Genomic DNA, 27,218 nt, shown 5'->3' with positions numbered 1-27,218 from the left:
AGGCCCTTATACACAGGGCAATGCGTGCCGCAAAGGGAGAATGAGGGTGGAGGGAGCCCAGCGGAGGGGGCGGAGGAGCAGGAGGAAGCCAGGTGAGGCCGGAGAAGAGGAAAGGCATCCAGGCAAAGGGAGCAGCCTGTGCGAAGGCTGTGAGCAGGCTCGAGGGGGTCTGCGTGGCCAGGCGAGTAGAGTGGGAAGCACATGACACAAGGGCCAGGGAGGCCTGGGGAGACCGTCCTTGGGAGTCTGGACTTTATCCTGGGGTCCTGGGAGCCATGAAGGGTTTTAGCCAGAGAAGTGGAGTGGTCTCAGCAGGCACCTGAGTCTCCCCGCTGCAGAAGGGGAATGCTCGTGAATACCTGCCTCTTAGGGCTGTTGGGGGTATTAAATGAGATCATTTATGTACCTGGCGCCTGTTTGCAATGACTACAATTCTTCTACCTATTATTTTAGAAAGCCCCTAGGTAGCTGGTGAGAAGGAGCAATGGAGGAGGGAGAGTGGCTGAGAGGCTGAGGCCGCCTCCCGGGAATAGATTCCTTCACTCAGTCGCAAATATATCTTGAGCACTTACTGTGTGCCAGGCTCTGTGGTGGGTGCCAGATGGCAGTGGGGAGATGGGGCCGGCCTTGTTCTCTGGAGACATGGCTGGCCTGGTCTGCAGCAGTGCTGAGGGCTTGGAGGGTGGCAGGTGGGCTCTGGACAGATTTGGGGGCTGGGATGCAGCCCCAGTGGTGGGGAGTGATGGGATGGAGGAGCAGAAAGCTGCCCAGAGTCAGGCTCAGCAACAGGATAGATGTTGGTACCCATGGGGTGGGGCATGTGATGGGGTACCTCTGGGGAAGAGGATGAGTTTGGTCTGGGGAGAACCAGGAGCCTAGAATCCTTTTTTCTCCTGGTCCCATCTGGCTGGATTTCTCTGTCACTGGCACTGGGTGGCCTGGGTGGGGCTGCACATGGGGCAGGACCCCAGGGCCGAATGACCTGCAAGTGGGGCAGCTCAGCCAGGCCTTTGGAAACCCAGCCTCTCGCTCCTGCTTGAGGGTCTCACGAAGAACCCTGGGCCCTGGCAGGAATCCCTTGAGCCGCCCACAACTCCAGAGCCTGGGTCAGGATGGCCTCCCGACATTCCGGGTTCCCAGCTGACAGGACTTGCCCTCTGCCCTCCACCTTCTTCCCGAGAACCCAAAGGGAGAAGCTGCTGAAGTGTGAGGCCAGAGGCAGAGAACCTCGGTCCCCGCAGCCCTCAGAAGTCCCCAAATTTGTCCCTGATTGTTTTCAACGTATTTGGGGCAGTTAAGATATTTTGAGAGAAACTGAGTGAAGAAATTAGCCTCCATTGCATGTAGCTTGGATCCCTTTCCTCAAATCACAACCTGTTTGGAGTGCAAGCCAGTTGGGAAGTTGTTGAGTGCCACTGATGGGGGAAACTGAGGCACAGCATCACCCAACAAGGTGGGGCAGACTGAGTCTACCTTCCTTCCCCAAGTCTTTCTCCCCAACCTATGAATGACCATAATATTTGTATTTTTAAAACAAAAGGAATACCGACAGGCCAATGTCAGTGCAGCATTTTCAAGGTGTCTTTTTATAGTAAAGGTGGAAAAAAAACCATCAGGCAGTTTTAAACTGGCATGCAGTGGGTGGGTGCACGTCGTCAAGAAGACATTTTTTTGCACCAATTTAGGGGCTGAGATGCCAGGTGGGGGCGGAGGGAGAGAGAGCTTCCAAGATGGGCTTTACATTTGGGTTTGGGCTGGGGGCTGGGAGTGATCTCCCAGTGACGAAGGGTGCAAGCAGAGACACTTGGCAGGATTTAGGAGAGGGGGTTCTAGGAGGATTGGCTGAGATGACCCTCTGGCCTGGAGAAACAGATAGGGCTTGGACCAGGAGACATCCCTCCCAGCCCTGAGAATGTCTCGACCCCCAGGTACATGGGCATACAGTCCATAAGCTGTGTGTCCCAGGGCCAGTCATTTACCCTCTCTGGGCCTCATTCTTTCTCATTATAAAACAGGTCTTATGCCTCCCTCCTAGGATGTGGGTAGATTAAAATCTCAGGGGTGTCTCTCTCAGCCTACTCTGGCTTAGGGGGCTGCCCATAATAAAAAATAAATACATAAAATAAAACCTCACATGCAGTGCCCAGGAAATGGCAGGCACAGGTATTAGTATCAAGAGGGAGAAAAGACACCAGAAAAAACTGGCCTCAGTGGACAGGGGATGCTCAGAGGAGGGAGGGTCAGGGCCTTGGAGGAGATGAGATCAAATAGGGCCTGAAGGCAGGCAGGGGTGGGTGAGACGCCTGGGTGCAGCAAGGGTGTGTTGGGTGCTGTCCCAGCCCCAGCACAGAGACTGAGATGGAGAGAATGGTCTCTAGTGCCCGGGCTGAGGAGTCCAGGGCAGCACTGTCTTGAAGGCAAGAGGCCTGTGGGCTCCTTGGAGTGAATAAAAACCGTCGCCGAGCTCGCGCTCTGCAGGCCTTTTATAAGCACCTACATGGTTGACCTCATGGCTGCCCCTCCCCTGGTCAGGCAGACAGTGCGTCATCATCATCCCCAGCTTACAGAAGGGGAAACTGAGGCCAAGAGAGGGGAAGTGACTTGCCCTGGCTCACACAGCTGGGGAGTGAGGGTCTGGATCCGCAGATAGAAGCAGGAGTCCTCTTCCTGGTGGCTGGTGAGCTGTGAGCTCTCCGTGGTGGGGAATTCTGCAGTTCCCCCTCTGGCTGGGCCATAGAGATTCAGGCAGGGCCCATTGTGATAGCAGTGACTCAGGCGGGCTGGGGCATCTGCAGAGGCCAGGCCACATGCTGGGGGATGGGGGCTGACCCAGCTTCCTGAGGAAGTCAGGGGAGGCAAGGAACTTCTAGTTGCATTTGTCTGAAAATGCGATCATCAGCCTCTGGAAGGAGTGAGCCCATGGCCCTTTGGGTGTGCAAATGAGAGATGTGGGTTCAATGGTCAGTGTGAATGATGGTCCACCCAGGAGGGTGAGTGGGGGATCTGTCAGCGCCCTGGATACGCCCACAGTGAGGCCTTCCACAGCCAGGCAGGCGCACATCGCTAGGTGAGTGCAGGACCCTGGGGCCAACTTCCCAGATTCAAATCCTGCCTCTGCCCCTTCCTAGCTGTGGAAAGTCCCATCCGTTCTTGGAGCCTCCATTTTCCCATCTATAAAGTGGGCTGAGCGCAGGGAAGACTGGAGTGGCCTGGCGGCATTCAGCAAGGGCCACGCGCATCGGGCCCGGCAGAAACGCCCTCTGCAAAGTCCGATTCACCCGCCTGTGACTCCCGGTCTCCATGGAGATTAAGGAAACCAGCTGGGTTCCATGTCCTGGTTGCTGCCGTGAACAAAGACGCGTGGCGTGTACTGGGACAGGAGCGGGAGGGCAGGAGCCCCGGGAGAGAGTGGTGCCTTCCCCTACCTGGGCCTCCGTTCTCCGACCCTGGAGTTGGCCCATGGAGTGGCAAGGAAGCCTTCCCTCTGACACCAGAACTGCCCCATCATGTCATAATTACTGTGGTTGTTGCTTGAGAACTTTCTCTGTGTTAGCCCTTTGCAGAGCACTTTACATATCTTTTAATCTCCCCAGAACCTGAATGACATGACTGTTATCCCCAGTCTATGGAAGGGGAAACAGAGGTCCAGAAGGGTTAAGCATCTTGCCTGAGGTCACACCGTGGTGTGTGACTGTGGTGCTCCAGGTGGAGCAGGCTTCTGGCTGTAGCGCCTGTGACCCCTCATTCCTCCAAAATCTTTGACCGAAGGGGTGTGAGCCAGAGGGTGTCGGAAGGGGTGAATGGGCCCATTTTAAAGGTGAGGAAACTGAGACCCAGGGAACTTCTGCGTCCGCCGAGGCCCCTGTGAGAAGCAGTGAGGGCCTTTCAGGGTGGCCTGCAGAGCTGCCCAGCCCCAGCGCCCATCATGGTCGCGGGCTGGGGTTAGGATGACCCCCTGGTGTGGACTCCTGCTACCGGGCCTGTAGCTGTCTCCACCCACACATACCAGAGGCCAGCACCTCCTTGGTAACATCGCATGCCCGTCCAAGCTCTGGGTGGGGAGCTCTCTAGAGTATGTGAGTATGGGAGGAGGCTCAGCTTGCTACAGGACAGCCCCCAAGAGAGACAAATTGGACCCTCTCCAGGAGCCCCCAGAATGGTGAGGGAGGAGGTCATGACATCAGACAGATGCCACACACTAACCAGCTCATCAGAGGAGTGCGGGAGGGCTTCCTGGAGGAGGGGAGGTTGGAGCAGCACTTGACAGATGGGGCTGGGGAAGGCATTCCAGGCAGAGCACACGATAGGGGCAAAGGCTCAGAGATGTTGGAATGTGGCTTGGGTAGCAGGCCGAGGGGAAGCTGAGAGTGTGCTGGGCCTTGCCTGCAGGCTAAAGACTTGGATGCTGTCATGTGGGCTGCGGGGAGCCAGCAGGGCTTTGGGGAAAGGAGAGACATGGCTGATCTGGTTCCGGAAGGGACCCTGTGGCTGCTGGTCTGTATTGGCCCTGCCAGGTGCTGGCAGGATCCAGGGGCGGAGGCGCTCACCCGGAGCCCCCACTGTGGCTGGACCAGGTAACTCCCGAGGGCCTCTCCAGCTCTGACAGCCATGTGGGGATTGCCATGGAAACCAGCCGGTTCCCGAGTGGGGACAAGCCCAGAAAGTCTCTGAGTGCCAGCCACGTGGACTTGGATCCTCACTGCCCCCCAAGTACAGCCGTTTTCTTCTTTCCAAAGGCCATGTCTGAGCCAGGGCCGAACCAAACAGACCGCCCAGACAGGCATCCAGTGGCAGGGGCCCTGCTCCACCCTGCTCGGCTGATACTCGATGCAGTCAAGATCTGGGGGCCAGCGCCAGCGGGGGCCCTCCCCGCCTAGTCCACCGTCCTTTACCCTGAAACTTGATAAATCATGCGCTGGAGGGGGAGGGAAGCTCGCAGCTCCATTACGAGTCCCGGCAAGGCCCCAGTGGGGCGTTAATCATGTAGCACTTTATGCTCTGATCGGTAAATAATGGGGGGGGGCCCGCAGGCAGAGGCCTTGGAGTGGAGGCCAGGCCCAGGAAAGTGGCCAAACCCCCTTGCCTGTGCCCTTCTCCAGCCTCTGCCCGCTATCTTTGTTTGAGGTGACTGAGCTCTCTAGAAGCAGCCATCACCTTGATGGGCCTCAGTTTCCCCAGCTCAAAACCCAGGGTTTTTCCAGCTCCAAGCGGCTGATTTCCTGGCAACCATTGGTGGCTCCCAGCAGAGCGGCGGGTGGGGAGGCTGTGGTTAAGGGCGGGGATCTGGAGCCCGCAGGCCTGCGCTGGAGGCTTGGATCTAGCCATTCCGGCTGTGTGCCCCTGGGCAAATCACTTCAACTCTCTGTGCCTCAGTTTCCTTTACTGTAAAGCAGCATCAACTCTTTCAGGGTGTGGTGAGGGTTGAATGAGATAATACAGAAAGAGGTCTCAGCACAAAGCAGACTGCACACAGCTGCTTGCTACTGTCACTCTACCGAACTGTTACTATGAGAAAGCTGCCCCTCCCCATCCTGGGGCTGGGCCTCTGAGCTCGGATGTGGGCAGCTGGAGAGAGGGCCCCGTTGTCACCTCTGTGTCCCCAGCTCATGGAATCCAGCCCGGAGATGTTTGCGCAAGGCTCCAAGCAGCCCTGTCTTCTTGGCTGTGTCCACAGCGGTCGTGCGATGACTCTGGGACCAGCGGTAGAGTCCTGCTGCAGAGCACAGCCTGCGGCCAGGCATATGGGCTGGACCCCGAGGAGACCAGGGGCTGGGGAGGAGGGTGTGAGATCGAACCTCCAAGTCCCCCCAGCCCCAGGAGGGAACTGCCAGTGTTCCCTGGAGAGGCAACTATTTCTCGGCTCCTGGCCTGGAGTCCCTTCAGGGGAGGAAGCTGGGAGGGAAACTGTTCCAGGGCTTGGAAAGACTGGCTTCGTGCTCTGCCCCTCCTGCTGGGGGGAGGGAAGCCTTTTCCCTGGGCCAGGGAAGAGCCGCTGGCTGCCCATCCCACACTGTGCTCCTCTGGGACCCAGGGGGAGGGGAGCTGGAAATGGGGCCAGGCCGGGCCGGAATGAGAAACAGCTTCATGAAGGGGGAGCTGGGTGTCTAGGGGCTGCGTCCAGCTAACTAAACAATGGCTGCTTGAGTCAGCGACTGTGGCGGTGGTTCCCAGGCGCCAGGGCAGAGCAGGCCGAGGCCAGAGCTCCCACTACTGTGTCCTTGGTGAGGGCGGTGTAGCCCATCCAGCCTCGGATGCTTTGACTTCAGGAAGCGGTGGAGTGGCTTGTCCCTGTCCTCGGGAGCTCCCGAGCCTCTGCTCCGTGGTCTGCATAGCTAATTGGGAACATTTATTGAGCACCTACAGTGCTTAGCACTGAAGGCTCCTATGAGCTCAGTCCTTCCATAAGCCCTAGGTGGTGGGTGCTATTGCTGTCTTATTTTACAGATGTGGAGTCCGAGGTTCAGAGGGGATGGTGCCTCCCATAGTGAGGTAAGAGCTGTGAGACTTAGGAGTCAGGAGCCTCAGCTTTCTCATCTGTAAAATGGGTACGCAGCAAGAGTGTGTGTGTGTGTGTGTGTGTGTGTGCGTGCGTGCACCCCCAGGGCTGTAAGGTGCCCCCAGTAGCTGTAGTGTCACACAGTAGGTCCTTAATCCAGCCAGGCTTGTGACCTAAGCCTGGGGCTTGTCCTTCCAGGCCATGCCTGTTTGGGGTGGGTGGGCAGATCATGCCCAGTCTGTGTGTTGGCCCTCAGGGCGGCCTGGCTGGCTGGCTTCAGCCCTTCCAGATGGTGTCCAGCTGGTCTGGATAACCTCAAAGCCCTGGAGCTGGGTGACCCGCCTCTTCCAGAGGGGTCAGGGAAACCAAGGCAGGCCTCCCCGAAGGGTCTGCCAGAGCTGCTGTGTCCTTTGCCGTTTGTCTGAAGCCTCTGCTCTTCTCTGTGCCTTGGTTTCTCCAACGTGCTCCTCCAGGCTGCTTTTCCTCTGTGGCTAAGGCCAGGCTTCCTGACCATGGTGCTAGGCCTGGTTGGCCATCTTCTCCCTACAGCCCCTCCAGGAAGCCTCTTGGTCACCCCTGAAGGCGCTGGTATTTACTTTCTCAGCAGCAGGTGGTCTCCTCCCTGGCATGGGGGCTGCTGCCAGAGGCCACCCAGGACCGAGTCCGTCCTGCCCCCTCCCAGGGCTGGCACACAGTGTGCCCATGGCTCATTCCTTGCCTCAGTTTACTCTCAGCAGAGGTGTCAGCTTGCACAGTGTTCTGAGAGGCAGTGCATGCTGAAGTGGAAGGAGCTGGGGTCTGGGAGTCACAGGTGTGGCTTCATACCCTGGCCTGGCTGTGTGCGGCTGGGCTGCTGGACTGAGACTGGACACAGTCCACAGGCCACCACTGAGCCCGTGCCACATGGGCTCCACTCAGGGGAGCCCAGGAGGACTGGCCCTACCTACCTGGGCTGTCCAAGCTGAGGGAGGAGTTGGCGGGGACGGGGGCTGAGAGAGGCCACAGAGGTCAGGGCCAGATTGAGTGGGGCTTCAAGGGCCCAGGAGCAAAGTTTGGGTTTGTGTTGACAGCACTAGGGAACCATGGGAAGCTGTTGAGCTGCACAGGAGATGTGACCTGCTTTGCGGGGTTTTTTTTTTTTACAAAATAAACTTTTTACTTTGGAATAATTTTAGATTTTCAGGAAAGTTACAAAGATAGTACAGACAGTTCCTGTATACCCGTCCCCTAGTTTCTCCCATTGCTAACATCTTACCGTTACCGTGGTACATTTGTCAAAACTAAGAAGCCAACATTTGTTCTTTACTCCCAACTAAACTCCAGACTGCACTCCACAAACGTCTGCTTTCTTTTCCAGGAGCCCATGTTGCATTAAGCGCTTTGCAGTTTTAAAAGCTCTCTTTGGCTCCCGTGAAGGATGAATGGGAAGGAGCCCAGCTTTGGGAGGAGCTGGGGGGTCCAGACAGCCCAGTCCCCGGCCAGGATGTAGTGAGCTGCGGTCACCTTGCAGTTTTTTTATTTTTATTTTTTCGAGACAGGGTCTCTGTCACCCAGACTGGAGTGCGGTGGTGAAATTATAGCTCACTGCAGCCTTGACCTCCAGGCTTCAGGCGATCCTTCCACGTCCACCTCCCAAAGCGCTGGGATTACAGGCGTGAGCCATGGTGCGAACGGCCCACCCTGCAGTCTTAATACCCCAAAGTGATCATGTGCTTTCAGCTCTGTGGCAAATTTCAGCTCTGTGGCAAGGAAACCTGACTTTCCCAGGATCATAAACAATCAAACACTTCAGGCAGGAAGGTGCCCTCACTTCTCAAGTGCAAAGCCTCCGCAGCCGGTGTGGTAGCCATGCAGTCTGTACCTGTGACGGAACCGCTGGATTTTGCAACCTGCCGCAGCGCCCACTGTTAATGCCGCATCCTTTTCATAGTGCCACCTGCGGTGGGTCTGCGGCAGGATGTGAGGCCTGAGAAGCCGGGCTCTTGAAGCGCTCCTTCCAACTGGCTTCCTGGGGAGAGAAAGTCAACACAATTACAGCTGGTAGTAAAATCAATATGTCAGAGTTTTAATGGGAGAGTGGGCAGAGCTGAGCTTTGGCCCCAGGAGGGAGCCAGCTGGAGGGGGAGGGGGCATCCTGCTCTCAAAACGGGGCCGAAACCAGCGGCGGTTGCTCATCCCATGTGAGAGAGGGATAAAGTGAGGTTTTTACAGGAACTGAAGCTAGCAGCCAGTGTTGCCTGGGCCTGAATACCCGCCTCCCTTTGTTGCCACACGCAGAGTAGGCATACGTTTCCCTCAGTTCTCCAGCACCCAGCATGGCCGTGTTGCTCTCAGTCACTCGACTTAGAGAGAAAGCAGCTGACCACAGTCGTTCACACTTTAGTCAAAATTAGGTTCCTTTCTTTTGTAAACATTCCCTCCAGAGCACAGGCTCCATGCTGGAGAACGTCATGCATGTGCTGCCATGGGAAATGTGTGACCAGCACAGTGCCATCACAGGAGTTGGGGGGCTGAGCCACATCTTGAAAACTTGCCGTCTGGGCATGCCTGGAGAGGGAACAGCATGGGTCCAGACACCGGGGGCGCTGAAGTGCCAAGGGGAGTACGAATGCCTCAGAGGCATGGGATGGGCATTGGCTGCTGAAGGGACATTTACAATGGTACAAGAGCCCCGGGTATGAGGTGTGGGCACATTCCAGGACCTGTGGAGACTGATGTGGTGGGCGCAGCGGGTGGGGCAGAGGGAGGAGGGAGACTGGAGGCCTGGGAGCTGGCAGGAGCTGGGGCACGAAGGCCTTGAATGCGAGGCTGGACTGCTGGGGCTTGATCCCGAGGACAGCCAGGAGCTGGGTTGTAGGTAGGGAGGGTCTGACCAGCTTTGTGTGAGAGAAAGATGGCCCTGTGACTTGGAGGGCGCTGCGGGGATAGCCGAGCCTTCCCTGCTCTCAGGAGAACTTGAGTTTTGAAAGACTCATGCTCATTAGCCTTTAAGGAGGACGGTGCTGGGGTCAGGGGGTATTTTGGGCCTGTGAGGCTAACTGTCCCTGGAGACCAAGTTCAGCCGAGGCCAGCATGCTCAGGACGTCTAGTCCCCGAGTCCCGTGTCCCCCTCCCCCAGCCTGCATCCCCCTCCCCCAGCAGGGGCGGCACTTCCCGCCACGCTGGGCTTCCGTGTTTGAGCCGGTTTGCCTTGTGATTTCCCCTGGCAGCTGGGGAATCAGCTTCCCCCTCGGAACACAGATCATTCGGAGCAGCCGACGGCTTACTTCTTTAAAAAAATTTTTTAAAATTTTATTTTAGGATAAGGGGAAAAAACGCTGGGGGAAAGGCCTTTTAGAAAATTCCTTCGGTGCAGAATTAATGGCTTGTGAAAGTCAGCGCGGGGTGGGGGAGGGGGGAGCGGGCTCCCAGCGAGCTCCCCTCCCTCCTGCTCCCCTCCTCCCTGCTGCCCTAGCCCACAGATCACCCCGAGCTGGGCGCCTGGTCCGCCTTTTCCCAGGACCCCACCCTGGCTGGATGTCAGGGTATGCCCAAAGGTGTCATCTGGGGCCTCCCAGGTGTCCCCTTCCAGAACTTATGTTCCCTTGGTGGGAGGGATTCACAATTTTAATTTTAAACAACTTATTTTTAAATGATGCAAGTAATTCATATTCAGTGAAAAAAGTTACTTAGTTACCTAGCCCCTAGGAAAATCATCCCTCGCAGTGGTGAGGATCCCACCTCACCTCTTCCCTGCAGCTGCAGGATTGCTGAGGGGTGGGACCCCGCCTGGTTGGGGCAGCTGGGGAGACCGCTCAGCACCCACCTTCCAGGGCTGTCCCCAACTGTAACACACACAGGATGGAGTCGGGTAGGTCAGGGCTGGCACTGAGAGGAGGTGCCAATGATGCAGCTCTCGGGTGGGGGGGAATGGCTTCCTGGGCAGAGGGAGCGGCCAGGCCAGAGGTCCTGAGGCAGGAACGAGCTTGTGATATTTGAGGCACAGAAATGAGGCCAGTGTGGCTGGGGTGAAGGAGCAAGGGCAAGGGAGGTGTGAAATGGAGTTAGAAGATGAGGGGACCCACGGGAGGATTTAGGATTCAGGATTTATTCTGAGTGTCCTGGAAACCATGGGAGGGCTTGAATCGGGGGAGACCTGCTTTACATTTTTAAAGGGCTCATTTGGCAGCTGTGTTAGCAGATAGGAAATGTCAGTGTAGGGGGCAAGAGTGGTCTTGGAAAATGAAGAGGGCTGGGAGGGCTGTCCAGGTGAGAGGATGGCTGCTCAAAAGCTTTAAGGTAGGCATGATTTGCCCTGAATTTTCTTTCTTTCTTTTTTGATCAGCAGTTGAACATGGGTAACTTTTACTTCATAATAATAACATAAGCAGCAGTCATGTCTGAAACACAATAGTATCGGCTAACACTTCCTGGACACTTACTGTGGGCCAGGTACTGTATGAACACTTTAACCTGCTCCGTTTCCGACCTGGGCCAGTTCACCCCTCCTTAGGCAACCTGGTGGTCCCCCGCTCCCGGGAGGTCACCATATTGATGCTGAACTTAGTGTGGACACCCGATCAGCATAGCACACTACAGCCTAGAACTCCTGGACTCAAGTGATCCTCCAGCCTCAGCCTCCCAAGTAGCTGGGAACTACAGGCACGTGCCACCACGCCCGGCGTTTGGGAACACTTTAAAACAAATGATTCATCCCAGCCTCTATGCGGAAAACACTATGGATATACCCATTTTATAGTTGAGTAAAATGAGGCTCAGAGGCGAAGTGCCTTGCCTGGGTCACCCGCCGTCATCCTCCGGAAGACCATTCCCTCCTGTATGTTGGTCCAGGGCATCCCCAGCCCATCACACCTCTGGGCTCAGGGCTTGGCCCCCAGGGACATGCTGGAAACAGCCCCAGCCTAGAAGCCCATCCGGCCGTAACTGTGTTTATTTGCCCAAGCACAGAAGGACCCACTATTTATTGCTTTCTTTTGAAAACTAGCTGAGCCTGTGCAAAAACCAGGCAGGCACATCATCAGTGGCTTAAGCTTGCAAAAAGCACAGACAAGAAATTTAAAAAGAAAAATCTTTAAAGCTTTGCCCTAAAGATGGTTCCAATGCTGCCTTCCGGTGACCTCCCTGAGTCCTGCTCTGAGCCTCTGATGTCCAAATGCAGCTGAGGCATGGGCTCAAGTCTGCTACCTGGGTCAGCCCTGGGGGCGTGACATTGTAGTTAGCCATTTTCCCCTCTGAGCCTCAGTTTCCCCATCTGTGAGATAGGACCCCTAGGGCTGCCAGGATTCTGGGAGTCAGTGCACTGGCCTGGTACAGTGTCAGTTCCCAGTAAATGTGGCCTGTTATTATGTTTACTGTTGTGACTATTTATTGTTTATGCACCAGTTTTACCAAAATGGGCCCATGACATCCTGTGACTTTTCTTGTAATCAGTGTGGGCTTATGGCGTCACTGCGGGATGGGGGCTGCTCTCCTGGATGATAAGCCATGATGGACGCACTCAGTCCCATCCGACACATGTGTGTGTCCCCTTTTCACTCCTCTGCACCACCCTTGTGCCTGCGTCTTTGCGGAGTTGCACAGTTATTGTCTCAGGGTCACTTCCTGGAGGCCTGTTTTCTATTTTTGTGCAAATTGCACCAGGAACCTTTGAACATACCAAGACCCAGGAGAAGGGAGGGAAGGTAGGAGCAAGTTCAGGGAACAGCCCGGACATGGGATCACCTCTCACAGCTGCCCTGTGAGCCGCAGCTGATTTGCTGCTGGAGGGCATGGGTGATGCTGGGCTGTTGTGGACATGGGACTGTGCATTCAGACACACCCAGCCTGTTTGTCCCCCTGTAATGTGGGCAGATGAGGGGATAGGTGCTTGGGGAGGGAAAGAAAGGCTGCGGTTTAGGGAGGCCTCCACCTGGAGTCTTGCAAGCTGCTGGGGCTTTGGGGTGGTGGTCCTAGGGTCAGAGCAGACACCCGGCAGGAGGAAAGCCCATGGTTGCTGTGGAGACGCAGAGCCAGCCGGGGCTGTAGGAAAACAGCCGAGGCAAGAGGGACACCTCTTGGGTGCCAGCGGGTTAAGCTGAGGCTGACGGTGGCCTCCGGTCATCTGGTGTGGACTCCTCTGCTCTTCCCAGCTGTGCCCAGCCAGGAGGGGCAGCCCCAAGGGGGTGCGGGTGTAGCTCTCACCCTGGCCGGCCTCCCTGGACTCTTTAAAATCAAACCTGACCTTGTTCCCTCGCCTGCTGGTTCCCGTGTACCTTGAACATCATCTCCTTGGAACAGCTCTGTAACCAACACTGAGGTCAGGGCAGGCCTGGGCTTGGGGATGGGGTCCCGTTTGTGTTTGGGCCTCAGCTGAGCACTGAGGATATAAAGTAGGAACAAGACTTGAAAGCTCTGATGCCAGGGCCTGAGATCCCAGCCAGCTGTGCGGGCGGGGAGCCGGAGAAGGTTCTGGAGCTGGGATCTGACGTGCCGTTCCTCTTCCAGCTCCAGCCAGAGCAGCTGGACTGTGGAGCTGCTCACCTGCAGCACCCGCTGTCCATCCTGCAGCCCCTGAAGGCCACGCCCGTGTTCCGCGCCCCGGGCCTCACCTCCGTGGCCGTGGCCAGCGTCAACAACTACACAGCGGTCTTCCTGGGCACGGTCAACGGGAGGCTTCTCAAGGTAGGTATGGTTGGGGATGTGGGGAGGGGGTGGGGGTGGGAGGCTCCCCTGGGAGTTGGCTGAGGGGGTCAGTCTGTACACAGGGCTGCTACAGGTCCAGCCTGACCCTTTGTTTTCTCCCATTCGCCTAGCACTTTACAGTTTACAAAGTATTTTGCAAGTCTGTTTTTGCCACTATTGCTCATAATATAGGTGGCGTCCATACAGAGGAGGGAAACCAGGGCTCAGAGAGGGTGATTCTCTCAGAGGCTCTAGGACTGGGGCTTTGAAACTGTATGGCTCTGAGTTCAAATGTCTGGGCTCTGCCATTTGCTGGCCCTTTGACCTTGGGCAACACATATTCTCTCTCCAGGCCTCAGTTTCCCTGTCAAGGGCTGTAAGCTGTTGTGGGGCTTTGGCAGGGTAAGGCCATGGCCTGGTGAGCAGGAATGCTCATTCATTTCTCCTCCCCAGCCCTGCCAGCCACCCCGTCCCAGGGTGACTGGTGTCTAGAGTTAACTGTACCCCAGCCCGTGGCCCCGAGATTCCTGGAGCTGGGAGGAGATGCGCAGAATCCAGTTTCCCTGCTCTGGGGCAGGACAGACATGGCGGAGCCTGGGCCAGACCCCCAGGTGCAGCCCTGGACCTGCCCCCAACCCAGCCATCTCTCCTGCTCCCTCTTGGGAGACTAAGCTAAGCGCCACCACTCTATTCATGCACCAGGCCCGGCCTAACTGCTCAGATCTGATCACCCAAGTCCCCCCCAACCCACTGCCTGGGCAGACGCTGTGGGCTGGGTGGGCGTGGGGAGTGGAGTCCCAGGACCCCACCGCTGTGGCTGGGGAGAGGAAAAATGTGGGGCTCGTCAATGGGGCTCGTGGTTTGGGGTCAGATACTCACATTCGGAGTCTGGCTCTGCTGCTTCCAGCTTGGTGACTTGGGGCCAGTTTCTTCTCCCCTGCGAGCCTCAGTGTCCTGGCTTGGGAACATGAGCCAGGCCCCTCCCCCACCCCCGACACCCATGAGGCTGCAGTTGTTAGGCGCCTACTGTCTACCCAGAGCCTAAAGGGCATCCTCTCACTTAATTCTCACACCCCTGCAAGGGAGGCAGAGGCACGATTCTCATGCCACAGATGAGAACGTTGAGGCTCTGAGAGGGGAAATGATTGCCCCAGAGTCGCACAGCAGGAGCTGGCCCATAGCCCACACCCCGCCACAGCCTGGAGCCCCTCACCTACCACCCTGCACAGTGTGGCCTCTGTCTCCAGCCAACCCTGCCCTGCTCGGGCCTTAAATCGCCACACCCAGCACAGGCCCTGGGGCACAGTAGTTGCTCAATAAATGATTGAAGGAGTGGAAATGACTTGAGTGTCCACTGGACGCCTGGACATAGGGGTGGGTGCGGGCAGTGGCCTGAGCCCCTGCAAGGCTCCGCCAAGAGGCCACGTGGGACAGGAGTGTCTCAGGCTGGGACAAAGCCCATGGAAGCCTGGGGAGAAGGTAATTTTGAGTTGGTGTGTAGAGGCTTCTGGGCCTCATGTGTGCATTGGTAGAAGGGGAACAGGAAGGAATATTCCAGAGGAGAGCACAGCATAGGCAAATGCCTGGAGGCTGGAATGTGTGAGCAGGGTTGAGGGGGTGGAGATAAAGCTGGGGTTGTCCGGGTTAGATCACCAGGACCTTGAGTGCCAGAACAGGTTCATTCCATAAGCAGAAGGGAGCCATGAAGGGTTTGGGAGCCCCAGGAGGAAGGCTGGGGCAGAAACTGGCCTGGGAGGTGTCCGGACCACTGGCCCCATCTCAAAATGCCCAGCCTGGGGCCTGGCAGGGCCCAGACAAGACAACACACTGGGAACAGGCAGGGCCAGGCAAAAAAGAGCAGAGTTTGGTGGGGCTCTGACCGGTATTGTCATCCTCAGGAGGACACGCAGAGGGTCCCTCAGAGCCAGAGAAGCTTCCAGGCCCCAGATAATCCTGGTCTTCCTCCTCCCTGCACCTTGGTTCCACACCCCTAGCCTTAAGCCTTGGACTGTGGGGTCAGGCAGGCCTGGTATTGCATTGTAGCCTTGTGATCTCTTCACTTTGTGCCTCTTGCCAACTCCCTCGGCCGCTCCCAGCCTCAGATTCCTCTTCGGTGAAATGGGCGTCGGGGGGAGGAATGAGACGTGCAGCCTAGCAGCTTCCCCGGGCCTGACCCCATCAGCCTGGCCTGTGTCTTATTTAATGCTCATGGCCCGCCTGCCCCATTAGCTCAGGAAACAGGCTCAGAGAGGGGAGGCAGCTTGTACAACTTACACATTGTAGAGCTCCTCAGTGTCAAAGCCAGAATCCAAACCCAAGCCCCTGCCCTTAGCCATGGTGCCTAACAGCCTCCCAGAGCACGTTTCGTAAACTACAAAGCCTGCACACGTTCACAGGGCGGGATGCCTTGGAGACGAGCCCAGAAGGAGCTCCTGGTGGGGGCACAGCAGAGGCAGAAGCATCAAGGCCCGGCCCTGTGCCCTCCCCTGCACGCCCGTGACTTCCCACCCCTCCTGAAGGGTCCAAGACAGGATGGGGAGGCAGAGCCCCCAGACCCGGGCTCAGGTTGTCCCCTGGGTTTGGCCTCCCCTGCTATGGGCTCCAGCACCCTGATGCCCACTACCCCCACAGATCAACCTGAACGAGAGCATGCAGGTGGTGAGCAGGCGGGTGGTGACTGTGGCCTATGGGGAGCCCGTGCACCATGTCATGCAGTTTGACCCAGCAGACTCCGGTTACCTTTACCTGATGACGTCCCACCAGGTGAGGCCAGAGCCCCAGCCCAACGCCATCCCAGCACCAGCCGAGCCCTCTTGCTTGCCTGGCCTTTACACACGCTGTTCCTCTGCTGGGAGCACCCTCCTCCTCCATCTCCCTTATCTGCTAACTCCACCTTGTCCTGCGCCTCCCAACACCGACCTTGCCTCTGCAGGGAAGCCTTGTCTCCCATGTTCCCCCATTAGAGTGTTGACCCTCAGTTTCCCCAGCCTCTCATGGCCCGCACCATGCTGACCGTACCACCTCCCCAAGGGAGAGGCTGGCAGTCCCATTGAGCTGGGCCCCCACCTCTGCCCCCAGATGGCCAGGGTGAAGGTCGCCGCCTGCAACGTGCACTCCACCTGTGGGGACTGCGTGGGTGCGGCGGACGCCTACTGCGGCTGGTGTGCCCTGGAGACGCGGTGAGGCTGGACACCAGCAACAGCTGGACCAGGAGGGCTGTGGGGGTGGGAGGAGCTGACCTGGGTCCTGACCCTGCGGTGCCACCCCAGGTGCACCTTGCAGCAGGACTGCACCAATTCCAGCCAGCAGCATTTCTGGACCAGTGCCAGCGAGGGCCCCAGCCGCTGTCCTGCCATGACCGTCCTGCCTTCCGAGATCGATGTGCGCCAGGAGTACCCAGTGAGTCCTGGGGGAGGCAAGACCCAGCTCGGGACACAGGGGAGCCTCCCTTCACCCAGCACCCAGGCCCCGAGAGGTGGAGACTCCCACCCATGGTGCCCCAAGGACCTGAAGACAAATAATGAGAACAGTGACAATGACTGGGCTTTCCTGACCAACTAGTAAGTGCCAGGCACGTGCTCTGTGCTTGACGTCCACCTCCGTTAGGCCTTACACACCCTATGAAGCAGATGCTTTTGACATCCTCATTTTACAGATGGGGAAACTGAGGCACCAAGTGGTGAAACGACTTGCTGCAGGTCGCACAGCTAGGGAGTGGTAGAGCTGGAATCTAAACTCAAGAGGCGGGTTCTAGAGACCCAGGAGGGAGGGTACAAGTTGGAGGCTTGGAGGACAGTGAGTTCCACCCACCTTTTCCCAGAACAGGGGATGGAGGGAGGGACCACCAGGTGCCAGACTGAAATTTCTCCTTCTCAGAAACAGATAAACCTGCAATGCAGGGGGCTGGGTCTCCCCCGGCTTGTGCCAGGAGGGCTCTGGCAGGCAGCCTTGGCGGTGGGGGATTCTGGGCCCCGGCAAGGGGTGGGAGCCGAGGGTCAGACAGGCCTGGGGTTCATGCATCTGGCTCTCAGTGACTTCTCTGAGGATGAGGGTCCTCTTCTCTCACCCTGGGGGGCTCTGACAGCCCGGCTCTGGCCTGTAGCTGCTCAGCATCTGGGGCTCCTCTGCCCTGCCCTGCCGTTATCACACATCACAGAGTCCTTCCCTCATTCATTCAGTCATTTCATTTATTGGACAAATATTATGGAACACGTACTATGTGCCAAGCACAGTTCTGGACTCTGGGGACACATCAGTAATCAAGACAGACCCCTGGCCCCAGGCTCATGGGGGAGGAGAATAGGCAAGATAAAACCTGAAGGTGATGCTAAGTACTGTGGAGAAAATGAAAGCAGAACAGGGGTGGGGAGCGGGTTGTGGGTGCAGACATCTCAGGCCAGGTCAGGTAAGATATGCAGGAGGGGAGCCAGGGTGAGCATCTGGAAAGAGCGTCTGGGTGGAGGGAACTGCCAGTGCAAAGGCCCTGAGGTAGAAACAAGATCAGCTGTTTCGGAGAGTATTAGGGGATGGGGTCAGAGGTCACAGGGGCCAGATCATGCAGAGCCTTCTTGACCACTGTAAGATGATGTTTCATTTTGCAGCTGGGGAAACTGAGGCTCAGAGGGTCACATGTAGGGCATAGCCCTCTGGCCCTGAGTCCTGGCCACCACTACCCCTTCCCCCAGGGGACATTCAGGCAGTGCCAGACCTTGGGTTGGTGCACAGCCCTGGGGCAGGCTGTGAGGAGCATAGCCTGGACCCCCAGAGCTGAGGGCTCCTTGCCCCCAGGGCATGATCCTGCAGATCTCGGGCAGCCTGCCCAGCCTCAGTGGCATGGAGATGGCCTGTGACTATGGGAACAACATCCGCACTGTGGCTCGGGTCCCAGGCCCTGCCTTTGGTCACCAGATTGCCTACTGCAACCTCCTGCCGAGGGACCAGTTTCCGCCCTTCCCCCCCAACCAGGGTAAGCACGCTGTGCTGTTGGCACAGCCCCAGAGGGGCAGAACGGTGGACTGTCAGGCATGGGGATGGCAGGGGGCCAGAGGTCACAGCTTCTGATGTTGGTGGCAATCCCCTGCCCCCATGTCCTCCCCTGGCTCCCCCATCCATTCCAGACCACGTGACTGTTGAGATGTCTGTGAGGGTCAATGGGCGGAACATCGTCAAGGCCAATTTCACCATCTACGACTGCAGCCGCACTGCACAAGTGTACCCCCACACAGCGTGAGTGGCTTGGGTGGCTTGCCTCCAGTTGGTGGAGGGAGGAACGCATCCCCGGGAAGGGTCTTTGCTTTCAGGGGGCCCTGAGAAGAAAAATCATAGCATCGTAGAGGTAGACAGGCCCTTCAGTTGTTCATTCACCAGCACATTTATTCATTCTACAATAAATGCATACTGCCTGATGCCTGGCCTCTGTGGACAGCCAGGTGGGACGGGGCAAAGTGCTTTGATTATACTCAGTTTAGTCTTCTAAAGGCCCTGTCTCTTTTAACTCCTATTTGTATACCTCTTGTTAGCAGGCAGCTCACTACCTTAAAGACCCAATCTTTCCCAGGCAGCCCCGATGATGAGAAAGACCTTTCCCTGTGCTGGGATCTGCCTTTTGGGTTCTAGTTCCTGGGACAGGGATGAGTTGAGGGGTGGGGAACCAGGAGTTGAGGGGCCTCCTTGTCTTCCAGCTGTACCAGCTGCCTGTCGGCACAGTGGCCCTGTTTCTGGTGCAGCCAGCAGCACTCCTGTGTTTCCAACCAGTCTCGGTGCGAGGCCTCACCAAACCCCACGGTAAGCCAGGCTAGGGGGCCCCTCCGCCTCTGCTGTTTCATTACCTTTTTTAAAAAATTCACATGTTGAGAATGTTTCAATGCCTTTGCATATTCCGCCTTAGCTTTGGCTTTGACAGCTATATGGGGCTCATCACATACCACGGTGCGTTTAACCCATGCCCTATAGTTGGACATACTAATTATTTCCTCTTTTTTGCATTTTGATATAGCCAGGGCACTATGCATATCCTTGATGATTCCCTGAAGACCGCTTCTTAGAAATGACCTGTTGGGCTGGTAGTGTGGCCATAGTTCTACACCTTGAGCTCAGCTGCCTTCCAGAAAGCCTGAGCCAGTTTATACCCCCACTGCAGTAGGAAGACCATTTCAACAACCCTAGGTGTTCAGGGCATTTGTCCTCAAGGCCTGTGGAGGTGATTCGCTTAAGGTCATCGACTCAGGCAGTACCAGACTTGGGCCTTAACCCAAGTCCCTCTGCCCCTGGAGCCCATATTCTCCCCTCCTGTGAAAATCAGGAACTGGGTGGAAAGGGCCCTGCCTGGGTTTCTGCACGAGCAGTGGCGTCCCAAGGGTGGGTGGTGCTGCAGCTGTCCCTGGACAGGGAGGATGGGCTGGCCTCAGAAACCACACGCTCCCAGGTCCTCATGTCAGTCCCTAGGACCCTGCAGTCTGACTCCATGCTTGTCAGGGGCCAGGCCTGCCCCAGCACTGCATGGTGGTTGGGTTTAATCAACTAAATGGGGTGGGAGCAAGAGGAGGAAATGTAAAAATGGATCAATCTAGGCTTTTTAGTGTAAAGATAAAGTAAAAATGGACATGCCACATACCTCGCCCCTGGTTGGTTTCTGAGACTTGTTCACTTTCCAGGTGGCCTCTCACCTTTGCCCAGGAAGCCTCTAAGGCCACCGCAGCCCGTGCCAGGATGGCCAAATGGGATGCCTGGGACCTTGGCTGGGGTGATAAGGCCTAGCCAGGTGGGATGTGCCAGGGTCCTGAGATCACAGCTCGTCCCCTCTCAGACCTGGCGCGTATCAGGGCTGTGGGTGGCTGGGGTAGGGCACCAGCCTTCCTGCAGCTCATCTCTCCAGGCAAAGGCTGGTCCTGCCCATATTCCAGATGGCACAACTGAGATAACCAGCATGGCACCTGGTGCCCTGGCTCCCTGCAGAAGGTCACTGGGGCCCCTTTCTGGGCACACATCCCGGGGAAGCAGCCCCAGCGCCCAGAGCCTCTGCAGCCCCAGCCTTTTTGCACTGAGCTCAGAGAATCTTCTCAGGAATCCCTGAAGCCCTGTCTACCCCGGCAGTTGCTAAGGAGGGGGCCCCATGGCCTCAGCCTGGAATCCCCTGCTCGCTCGCAGTGCGCAGCACCTCCCACCTGAGCCCCATAACTGCTTTGAAGAAGAGCCTGGCAGGGGCCATGCTTAATTCTATTCGAAGAGGGGCTTGGCAGCAGGGGGCTTCCAGCACTGGAGGAGAGCCCAGTGGAGTCGGTGCAGTGAAACCATACGGGAGCCCTGAGCTGCTCCTGGACCCCCAGATTCCACAGTTGGGACCCCACTAGGACTCCTGCTCCTGTCTGGGGACCCCATCTCAATCACGTCTCTTCCTTCCAGCTCCCAGCCCAGGGTTGTGTACACAGCAGGGGCTCGGTTATGGTGGTGGGAAGCATCACACTGGGCAGCAGCCTGCTTCTTGTGCGCTAACCTAGGGGATGCGAGGAGGACCCAGCCTCGTCACAGTCCGTTCAGCATTTATTGAGTGCCTGCTGTATGCCTTAGTCAGTACTGGGCCCTGGGAAAGAACCGAGTTGGACTAGTCCTGCCATCACGAGCCAAGAGCCTCAGGTGTGAGCTGTGGCTGTATGATCTTAGGGAAGCTACTGAATCTCTCTGTGCCTCTGTTTCCCCATCTATAAAATGGGACCTGCCTGAAGGGTTTGGTGGGGATCTGGAATTATGCCCGTAAGATACCAACTCTATACTTGGCACATAGTAGATGCTCACTACAAAGCCACCATGCACCTTGGGAACTGATGGCCACTCTCTGTGGGTGGGCCAGAGTGAGGATTTCAGAGAGAGGATTTCAGAGAGAGGATTTCTCTTGAGAGGGGACCTTCGTGCTGGGTCTTGAGAGATGCATAGGAGCTCACCAGCTGGGAGGGAGTTCCATGGCAGCGTCCTGTCAGATGGCTGTCCCCCAGGTCTGCAGTTCTTCAGGCCAGGAGCTGGGGTGGAGGCACAGAGGAAGCCTGTCTGAGAATTACAGTAACTAGCCGAAGAGGCAGCTCTGCCCCGGGCGTGCAGGAGGCTCTGAACTGATGTTTAATTTGGCATTTAATGAAGTGCCAGTTAGTCGTAGTGGTGCCGTGGTCTCTGTGTGAACAGCAGGCAGCAGGCAGCGGGATCTGCACACCACGTGGCCCCTCGGGAGCCGGGAGAAGTGTCCCTGGGAAGGGAGGTGCTAGGGCCTGAGTCTCCTGTCACGTTCCCATTGTCCCTCATGGTCCCCGCGTGAAAGATGTGCAAAGTGGAGGATGCTGGAAGGAGGGCTTCAGCTTTAGGGGAGGCTGGGAGGAAGGTGGATGTGTGCCCCGTTTGCAGGTGCCTGAGGGATGAGGTAGCTTCCCTGGGGGTGGCTTCCCAAGGACCACTCATAGGTGTAGGTGGTCACTACGGGCCAGTGGAGAGAGTGGGGTGGTAGGAACATGGGGGCAATTGTGGGGGTCCCTGGGGGTACAGAGACGTAGGGAGGGACCAGGTGGATTCAGGGTCCCTGGGTTGTTGAGTGCCTTGATGGTTTGGGACACCAGTTCTTCCCCTGGAGTTTAGGAGAGGCCCTGTGAGAGCCACGAGGACTCCTCCAGCCTCGGTTCTCTAGAATGGGGGTGAGCATCCACCTGGCCACAGGTTACAAGTGGCTAAGGGGAGTGGGGTGGCCCTCGGGGATGGTCACACATCATTCACTGTGGGGGCCCTCTTGTGAGAGCGCCTCCTGCCCTGACTCTCACACCTCAGCCCCACATCAACACCTACCCACCGGGTGGGCTGGGGCCAGGAGGACAGAGGCTGGGCCCCAGCCAGCCGCAAAGCAGACCTGGCAGTGGCTTCGAGGCCTGAGTGGAAACATGGATTCCATGCCCTCGGATTCCGTGGGGTTTACACACAGCACAGGATGGCAGCCTGCGGTCTGCAGGGGGCCCGCCGCTGACTCCGTCTGGGCCCCTCCTTGGTAGGAACACGGAGGCCCGGAGAGGGTCAGTGGCTCGTGTATTCTGGCACAGGGAGCCAGCAGCACCCGGGCCTGGCTATGCTGCTTCTCTTGCCAAGCCCCTGAGGTCTGCACCAGACCCTGTCCCTAGGGGAACTCACCACTCTGGTCTCGTGGTCAGCAAATGGTCTGGACAACTGGAGCCTTCCTGTGTTGCTCATTCCACTGTAGGCAAACTGCTTTGCTTCTGTGTGCCTCAGTTTCCTATTCTGTAAAGTGGGTGTAATGATAGTATCTACCTCCTAGGGTTGTTGGGAGTAGAATTTGGTAAATTAAAAGAGTGCAAAGTGCTCAGAACGGTCCCAGCAGAGGGAGGGCTAGATGAGCTGGTGACTGCCACTGTTATTAGCATTATCGTCATCAGTTCTTGTTGTTGGCATTGGCATCCCCTCGAGGTCCGGTTTTGGGCTGGGGTCCCTGAGGGGAATCAGTCCCTGTCCTGCTCTCATCTGGTGTAGAATAAAGAAGCGTCTCATATTTTGTCCCAAGGCCTTTGGCCTGGCTGGGTGACCTCACGTGGACACACGTGGCCCATGGACGCTTTTGCTTTCTGGCCTGATTCTAACCCAGATCCTTCTGCAACCAGCCTTGGGAAGGAGGGCAGAGTAGGAAGTCCCTGAGCTGAAGGGTGGTTGTAGTCCCCTTGGCATGGGTGTGGCTGCTCCAAGGTCCCCAGTCCTGCCCTGCTCATGGTCCCAGCAGGTCAGATTCGGGAGCAGGAGGAGGCAGGAATGGCTCACTGGGGCCACCAAAGCTGGAGAACACAGGGCAGGTTGGGGGGTCCATACCTCCCAGCTCAGAGCGATCACTAAGGTGGACATGGCGGGAACAGCCCTGCCTCTGGTCTCTGCCCCTCCCCCAGGCCTCAGTTTCTTATTCTGTACAGTGGAGCATGGATCCCAGGAGCCTGGAGACAGCAGTTCCCAACCAGGCCTTGAATCCCTGCAGCGGGGCTAGACCTCTGCATCTTAACACGCGCCCCAGCTCGGAGGACCCCAGAGTCAAGACACCTGGGGCTTCAGGGGCCAGCCCTGTCCTCCGCCCTCAGGCAGCTCACTGCTCTTGGAGGCTCAATCTCCCCTCCCTCCCTTCCATCCTTCATCCCTCCTTCCTTCTTTCCTTCCCTCCCTCCTCCCTCCTTCTTTCGTTCCATGAAGCAGCTGCTCTGCCAGGCCTCAGTGACTCCACCACCAAACAAGAGCCAACCATGTGCTGTCCCCCCATGAGCCCGGGGCCCTTCCTGGGAGTATCTGGGGCTGGCACCTTCACCTAGAGGCTGTGACTTATACCCGGGCTGTGGGGAGGGGTGTCCCCTGGAGACCGGTGGTATCTGGCCCTCTGAAATGTCCTCCTGGTATTCAGAGCCCTCCCTGTGCCTTTCCTATGGGCTGTTTGGAAGCCCAAGGTTTCTCTTTTCTGAATCGCTTAACACGGGTCAGTCAGGAAGCTGGAGTTTCAGCCCTGGGGGCATCTCAGGGAGTGGGTGCAGCCCCCCTGTTCTACTATTGGGAAAGGTGAGGCCCAGAGACAGGGAGGAGCTGGGCCTGGAGTTCAGCCTCCCAGCCTCGTCTGAGGCCAGGGAGCACTCATGGAGGAAATTGGCCCCACCACTGGGCGGGTTATGCCATCTGCCTGTGCCCACCTTCCTCATCTTTAAACAGGGCCAATGCGACCTGCCCATAGGATGGAGGGTGGTGGCGAGTGGGAGGCACGGGGTGGGGCTGGTGGCCGTTAGGACTGAATGACTAGTGTTTTCTCCTCAGGAAGGCAGGACTGAACCAGGCAGGCTGGGGTGCAGTGAGTCCTCCTGCCTCTTCTCTGAAATGCCCCTGTGTCACCCTCTCCTTCTGTTTCCTCTGCAGAGCCCTCAGGACTGCCCCCGGACCCTGCTCTCACCCCTGGCACCCGTGCCTACGGGTGGCTCCCAGAACATCCTGGTGCCTCTGGCCAACACTGCCTTTTTCCAGGTAAGTAGAAGCCAGGCCAGCGCCGGGTGGGGCCAGGAGGAGGCCGGGGAGCACGCAGGCCACTAACTGCCCCCATGTCCTGGTGTGACCCCTGCTCTGGGCCCACTGCAGTGCTTTCGCACCTGTGTGGGCTTTGCTTTTCTTTCTCTGAGTTTCCACCTTCTGCATGAGGAAGCCCCACTCTGACTGCACGGGGCTGCAAGAAGAGGAAGTGGTGAGGGCCAGGCCAAGGGGGACAGCTGGGGGCCAACAGCTGCCAAGGGAAAGCCAGTGCCCCCAGGCTCTCCTGCCCCGTGCCACAGCCGGAGGGTGGACGCTGCCCTATCCTGTCCTCCCTTAGCCTGAGCTGTGACCCTGGACACACCCACCCACCGCCGAGCCCACTGCCCCGTGGGTGGCTTCCATGTCTTCCCTGCAGAATGACCAGAGAACCCCTTGGCCACCCCATTCCCCATTGTCCAGATGGGGAAGATGAGGCCCAGGAAGGAAAAGTAGATGACGCCAGATCACACAACACAGGGCTGGACTTGTGCTTAGCTCTGGACTCCCCAACCAGTGCTCGTCTTTGCAACTAGCCCCGCCCCCACCATCTGGGCTGGGGGTTGGGGACGCAGCTCCTTTCTGGACCCCTCCTGGAGGCGCGTCCTGGGTGGGAAGCGTTGACGAGTCCTGGAGGCGTGCCAGCCACCCCCCTCCCCACCTCCCTGGAACTCGCCATCTGTTACTTCCATGGAGGAGCTGAGGCCCGTGAGAGCTGTCACACGTGGTGGCCACGTGCCGGGCATCTGGGATGTGTCGGGAAGCCTCGTGGCAGGGGCTGGAGCTCTGGGAGGGCTAGGGTGGGGCCTGCCCTCAGCCCTCAAGCCCCACCCTGCAGGAGTTGGGGCAAGCGCCTCCAGGATCAGCCAGGGGGCTGGGTGGGTGGGCAGGATGGCTCTGCCCCTGGGCCGTGGGCGCCTGGGATGGGGAGGTGTGAGCCTGACTTGAGTCCTGCCGATTCTTCCCAGCTGTGTGGTGGGGCAGCCTCCACTCTGACCGAGCTGCAGGGGCGCCTGCCCTCCTGCTCCCCAGGGCCTGCTCCTAGAACACTGAAGTCAGGCCCAGCGGTGGGGGCCTGTTTGCTGAGCCTACACCCTGGGGAGCTCTGGGACGGGCCGGGTGTGCTGTTCTGAGGTGGCTGAGGACTAAGAGGAGGGACCCATCTCCAGCTCAGCATGGCAGGGGACAAAACGGGCTTTTGGCCCCGTCAGCAGCCACTTTCCTGTGTTAGCTTCCGGGCTGGGACCCCAGAAGCAGGGAGGTTGACCTGCATTCTCCTCAGGGTGTCACATCTGCCAGCCACAGGGACATAAACAGGAAGCTCTGCCACGCAGCTGGCTGGGTGCTTGGCGTAATACACAAAACCTGAGTCTGTTTACTCAGCAAATATGTATTGGTGCTGCTCCTGAGAAGGCCAGATGAGCCTGGGGAACTGAGCCTCATGACACAAACATTATTGGATACCTCCTGCATACTAATGATAGCAAGCACATATTAGGCCCCTACCGTGTGCGGCCCCTTGAGGTACACAATCTCCAGTTTTCCCAGCAACCCTATTCCCATTGTCCAGGTAGGAAAACCAAGCCTCAGAGAAGGGGTCAACTTGCATGAGGTCACATAGCTGGGACATGCAGAGGTGGGGTTTGAACCCAGGCCAGGGCTCTTCCAGCTGCTTTCTGCTGCCCTTGGGGGTGGTGTCAGAGCGGCCGAGCCCTGACCGTCCCCGGTTGGCGAGGGGACAGGTAAGCAGCCAGGCAAGAGGCTAAGGGTGATGCCTGGCACACAGGGATGGGGGCAGCTCTAGGAGCTTCGTAGTGCCCCAGCAGACACCTGAATAGTTGCTGCTGAGGGAATGAATGAGGATCAAGTGAGGCACACCCCTTTGATTTGAGGGCAGCATCTGGGAAGGCTTCAGAACAGGGGGCTTTTAAGCTGGATCCTGAAGGCTGTGTTGAGCTTTGCTGGGTGGTAGAAAGGAAGACAGGTGTTCAGGCGAGGGGAGGGCTCAGGCAAAGGCCGGGGCAGGAGAGTCTGGCCGTGTTGGGCGTTGGGGCACGTCTGAGCAGGGCCTGGTAGGGCAGGATGGGAGGTGGGAAGGCTCGAAGAGCAGGGGAACCCCGCTGGGAGTGGAGCCTTAGGAGCTGAATACAAGGCCCCTGGGTTAGATCACTGGGGATGCTGGAGAGGCTTTTAGTGGTGCTGAGCGCATGAGGCCAAAGTTCTTGGCATTCCTGCACTGCTTGCCTCCCTCAAACATTGGACGTGATGGCCAGGAAGGGGATTTTGGGGGACGGGACAGCCCATGCAAAGGCCTGACAGTTCGACCAAGCCCACCTTTCCCAGCAGGAGCCCGTGGTGTCCTGCTGGAGTTAGAGGGCAATGCATGCTGGCTTGGTTCTCCTCAAACCCGCCTCCCACTCCCTGTTTCCCACAGGGTGCAGCCCTGGAGTGTAGTTTTGGGCTGGAGGAGATCTTCGAGGCTGTGTGGGTGAATGAGTCTGTTGTACGCTGTGACCAGGTGGTGGTGAGTGGGGTGACTCCAGCATGGGCGGAGGGCGGGCCTGCGTTAAGTCCAGATGCTGTACCCCTCACCCCACCCTGCCTCTCTCTACCTTCTGGTTCCCCCATCCCCAGCAGCCCCAACTTCATCTGCCTCCATGACACCCATCCCCAGCAGAGCCCCAGGCATTGCCCATGCCCCCTATGCTCTTTTCTGCCCTTTTGCAGCTGCACACGACCCGGAAGAGCCAGGTGTTCCCGCTCAGCCTCCAACTAAAGGGGCGGCCAGCCCGATTCCTGGACAGCCCTGAGCCCATGACAGGTGGGCACCCCCACCCGCCCCACATGGCCTCGGGGCCTCAGTGCAGTGGGTGGGGCTCAGCCTTGTGCGACTCATTCCAGTGGTTGCCCCAAAGCCGCAGATGTCCCACCCCATTGTTCTCCAGCACACACACAGCCTCATATCCCAGCCCTGCCATGCCATGCCAGGCTCCAGGCCTTG

At 57.8% G+C, this 27,218-nt stretch overlaps 1 protein-coding gene and 1 pseudogene across 6 annotated transcripts in view, besides 2 other annotated features; one reads left to right on the top strand and one right to left on the bottom strand.

Annotated features, from left to right (window-relative positions):
• PLXND1 (plexin D1) overlaps nt 1-27,218 on the top strand; it is a 51,463-nt gene that overhangs the window by 4,170 nt on the left and 20,075 nt on the right. For 5 of the 6 annotated variants that reach the window (NM_015103.3, XM_011512588.3, XM_047447765.1 and 2 more), the window contains exons 2-11: nt 12,980-13,156; nt 15,788-15,919; nt 16,235-16,335; nt 16,426-16,555; nt 17,945-18,122; nt 18,274-18,382; nt 18,838-18,940; nt 24,074-24,178; nt 26,652-26,741; nt 26,945-27,038. In NM_015103.3, the coding sequence (NP_055918.3) occupies nt 12,980-13,156; nt 15,788-15,919; nt 16,235-16,335; nt 16,426-16,555; nt 17,945-18,122; nt 18,274-18,382; nt 18,838-18,940; nt 24,074-24,178; nt 26,652-26,741; nt 26,945-27,038 (1,219 nt within the window). The remainder of the gene's footprint in view (nt 1-12,979; nt 13,157-15,787; nt 15,920-16,234; nt 16,336-16,425; nt 16,556-17,944; nt 18,123-18,273; nt 18,383-18,837; nt 18,941-24,073; nt 24,179-26,651; nt 26,742-26,944; nt 27,039-27,218) is intronic. The other variant, XM_011512589.2, reaches the window with a different exon arrangement.
• Nucleotides 5,558-6,289: an enhancer, noted in NCBI's record as "H3K27ac-H3K4me1 hESC enhancer chr3:129315061-129315792 (GRCh37/hg19 assembly coordinates)". NCBI's record gives its function as "activates a minimal SCP1, AML or CMV promoter by ChIP-STARR-seq in naive H9 embryonic stem cells {active_cell/tissue: H9 hESC(naive)}" and the evidence as "EXISTENCE:reporter gene assay evidence [ECO:0000049][PMID:30033119]".
• Nucleotides 10,929-11,158, bottom strand: RN7SL752P (RNA, 7SL, cytoplasmic 752, pseudogene; annotated as a pseudogene).
• Nucleotides 25,094-25,820: an enhancer, noted in NCBI's record as "H3K4me1 hESC enhancer chr3:129295530-129296256 (GRCh37/hg19 assembly coordinates)". NCBI's record gives its function as "activates a minimal SCP1, AML or CMV promoter by ChIP-STARR-seq in naive H9 embryonic stem cells {active_cell/tissue: H9 hESC(naive)}" and the evidence as "EXISTENCE:reporter gene assay evidence [ECO:0000049][PMID:30033119]".

The sequence above is a fragment of the Homo sapiens genome, chromosome 3 (genome assembly GCF_000001405.40).
Source record: "Homo sapiens chromosome 3, GRCh38.p14 Primary Assembly".
Classification (NCBI taxonomy): Eukaryota; Metazoa; Chordata; class Mammalia; order Primates; family Hominidae; genus Homo; species Homo sapiens.
This window is presented reverse-complemented; position numbering and strand designations above follow the sequence as displayed.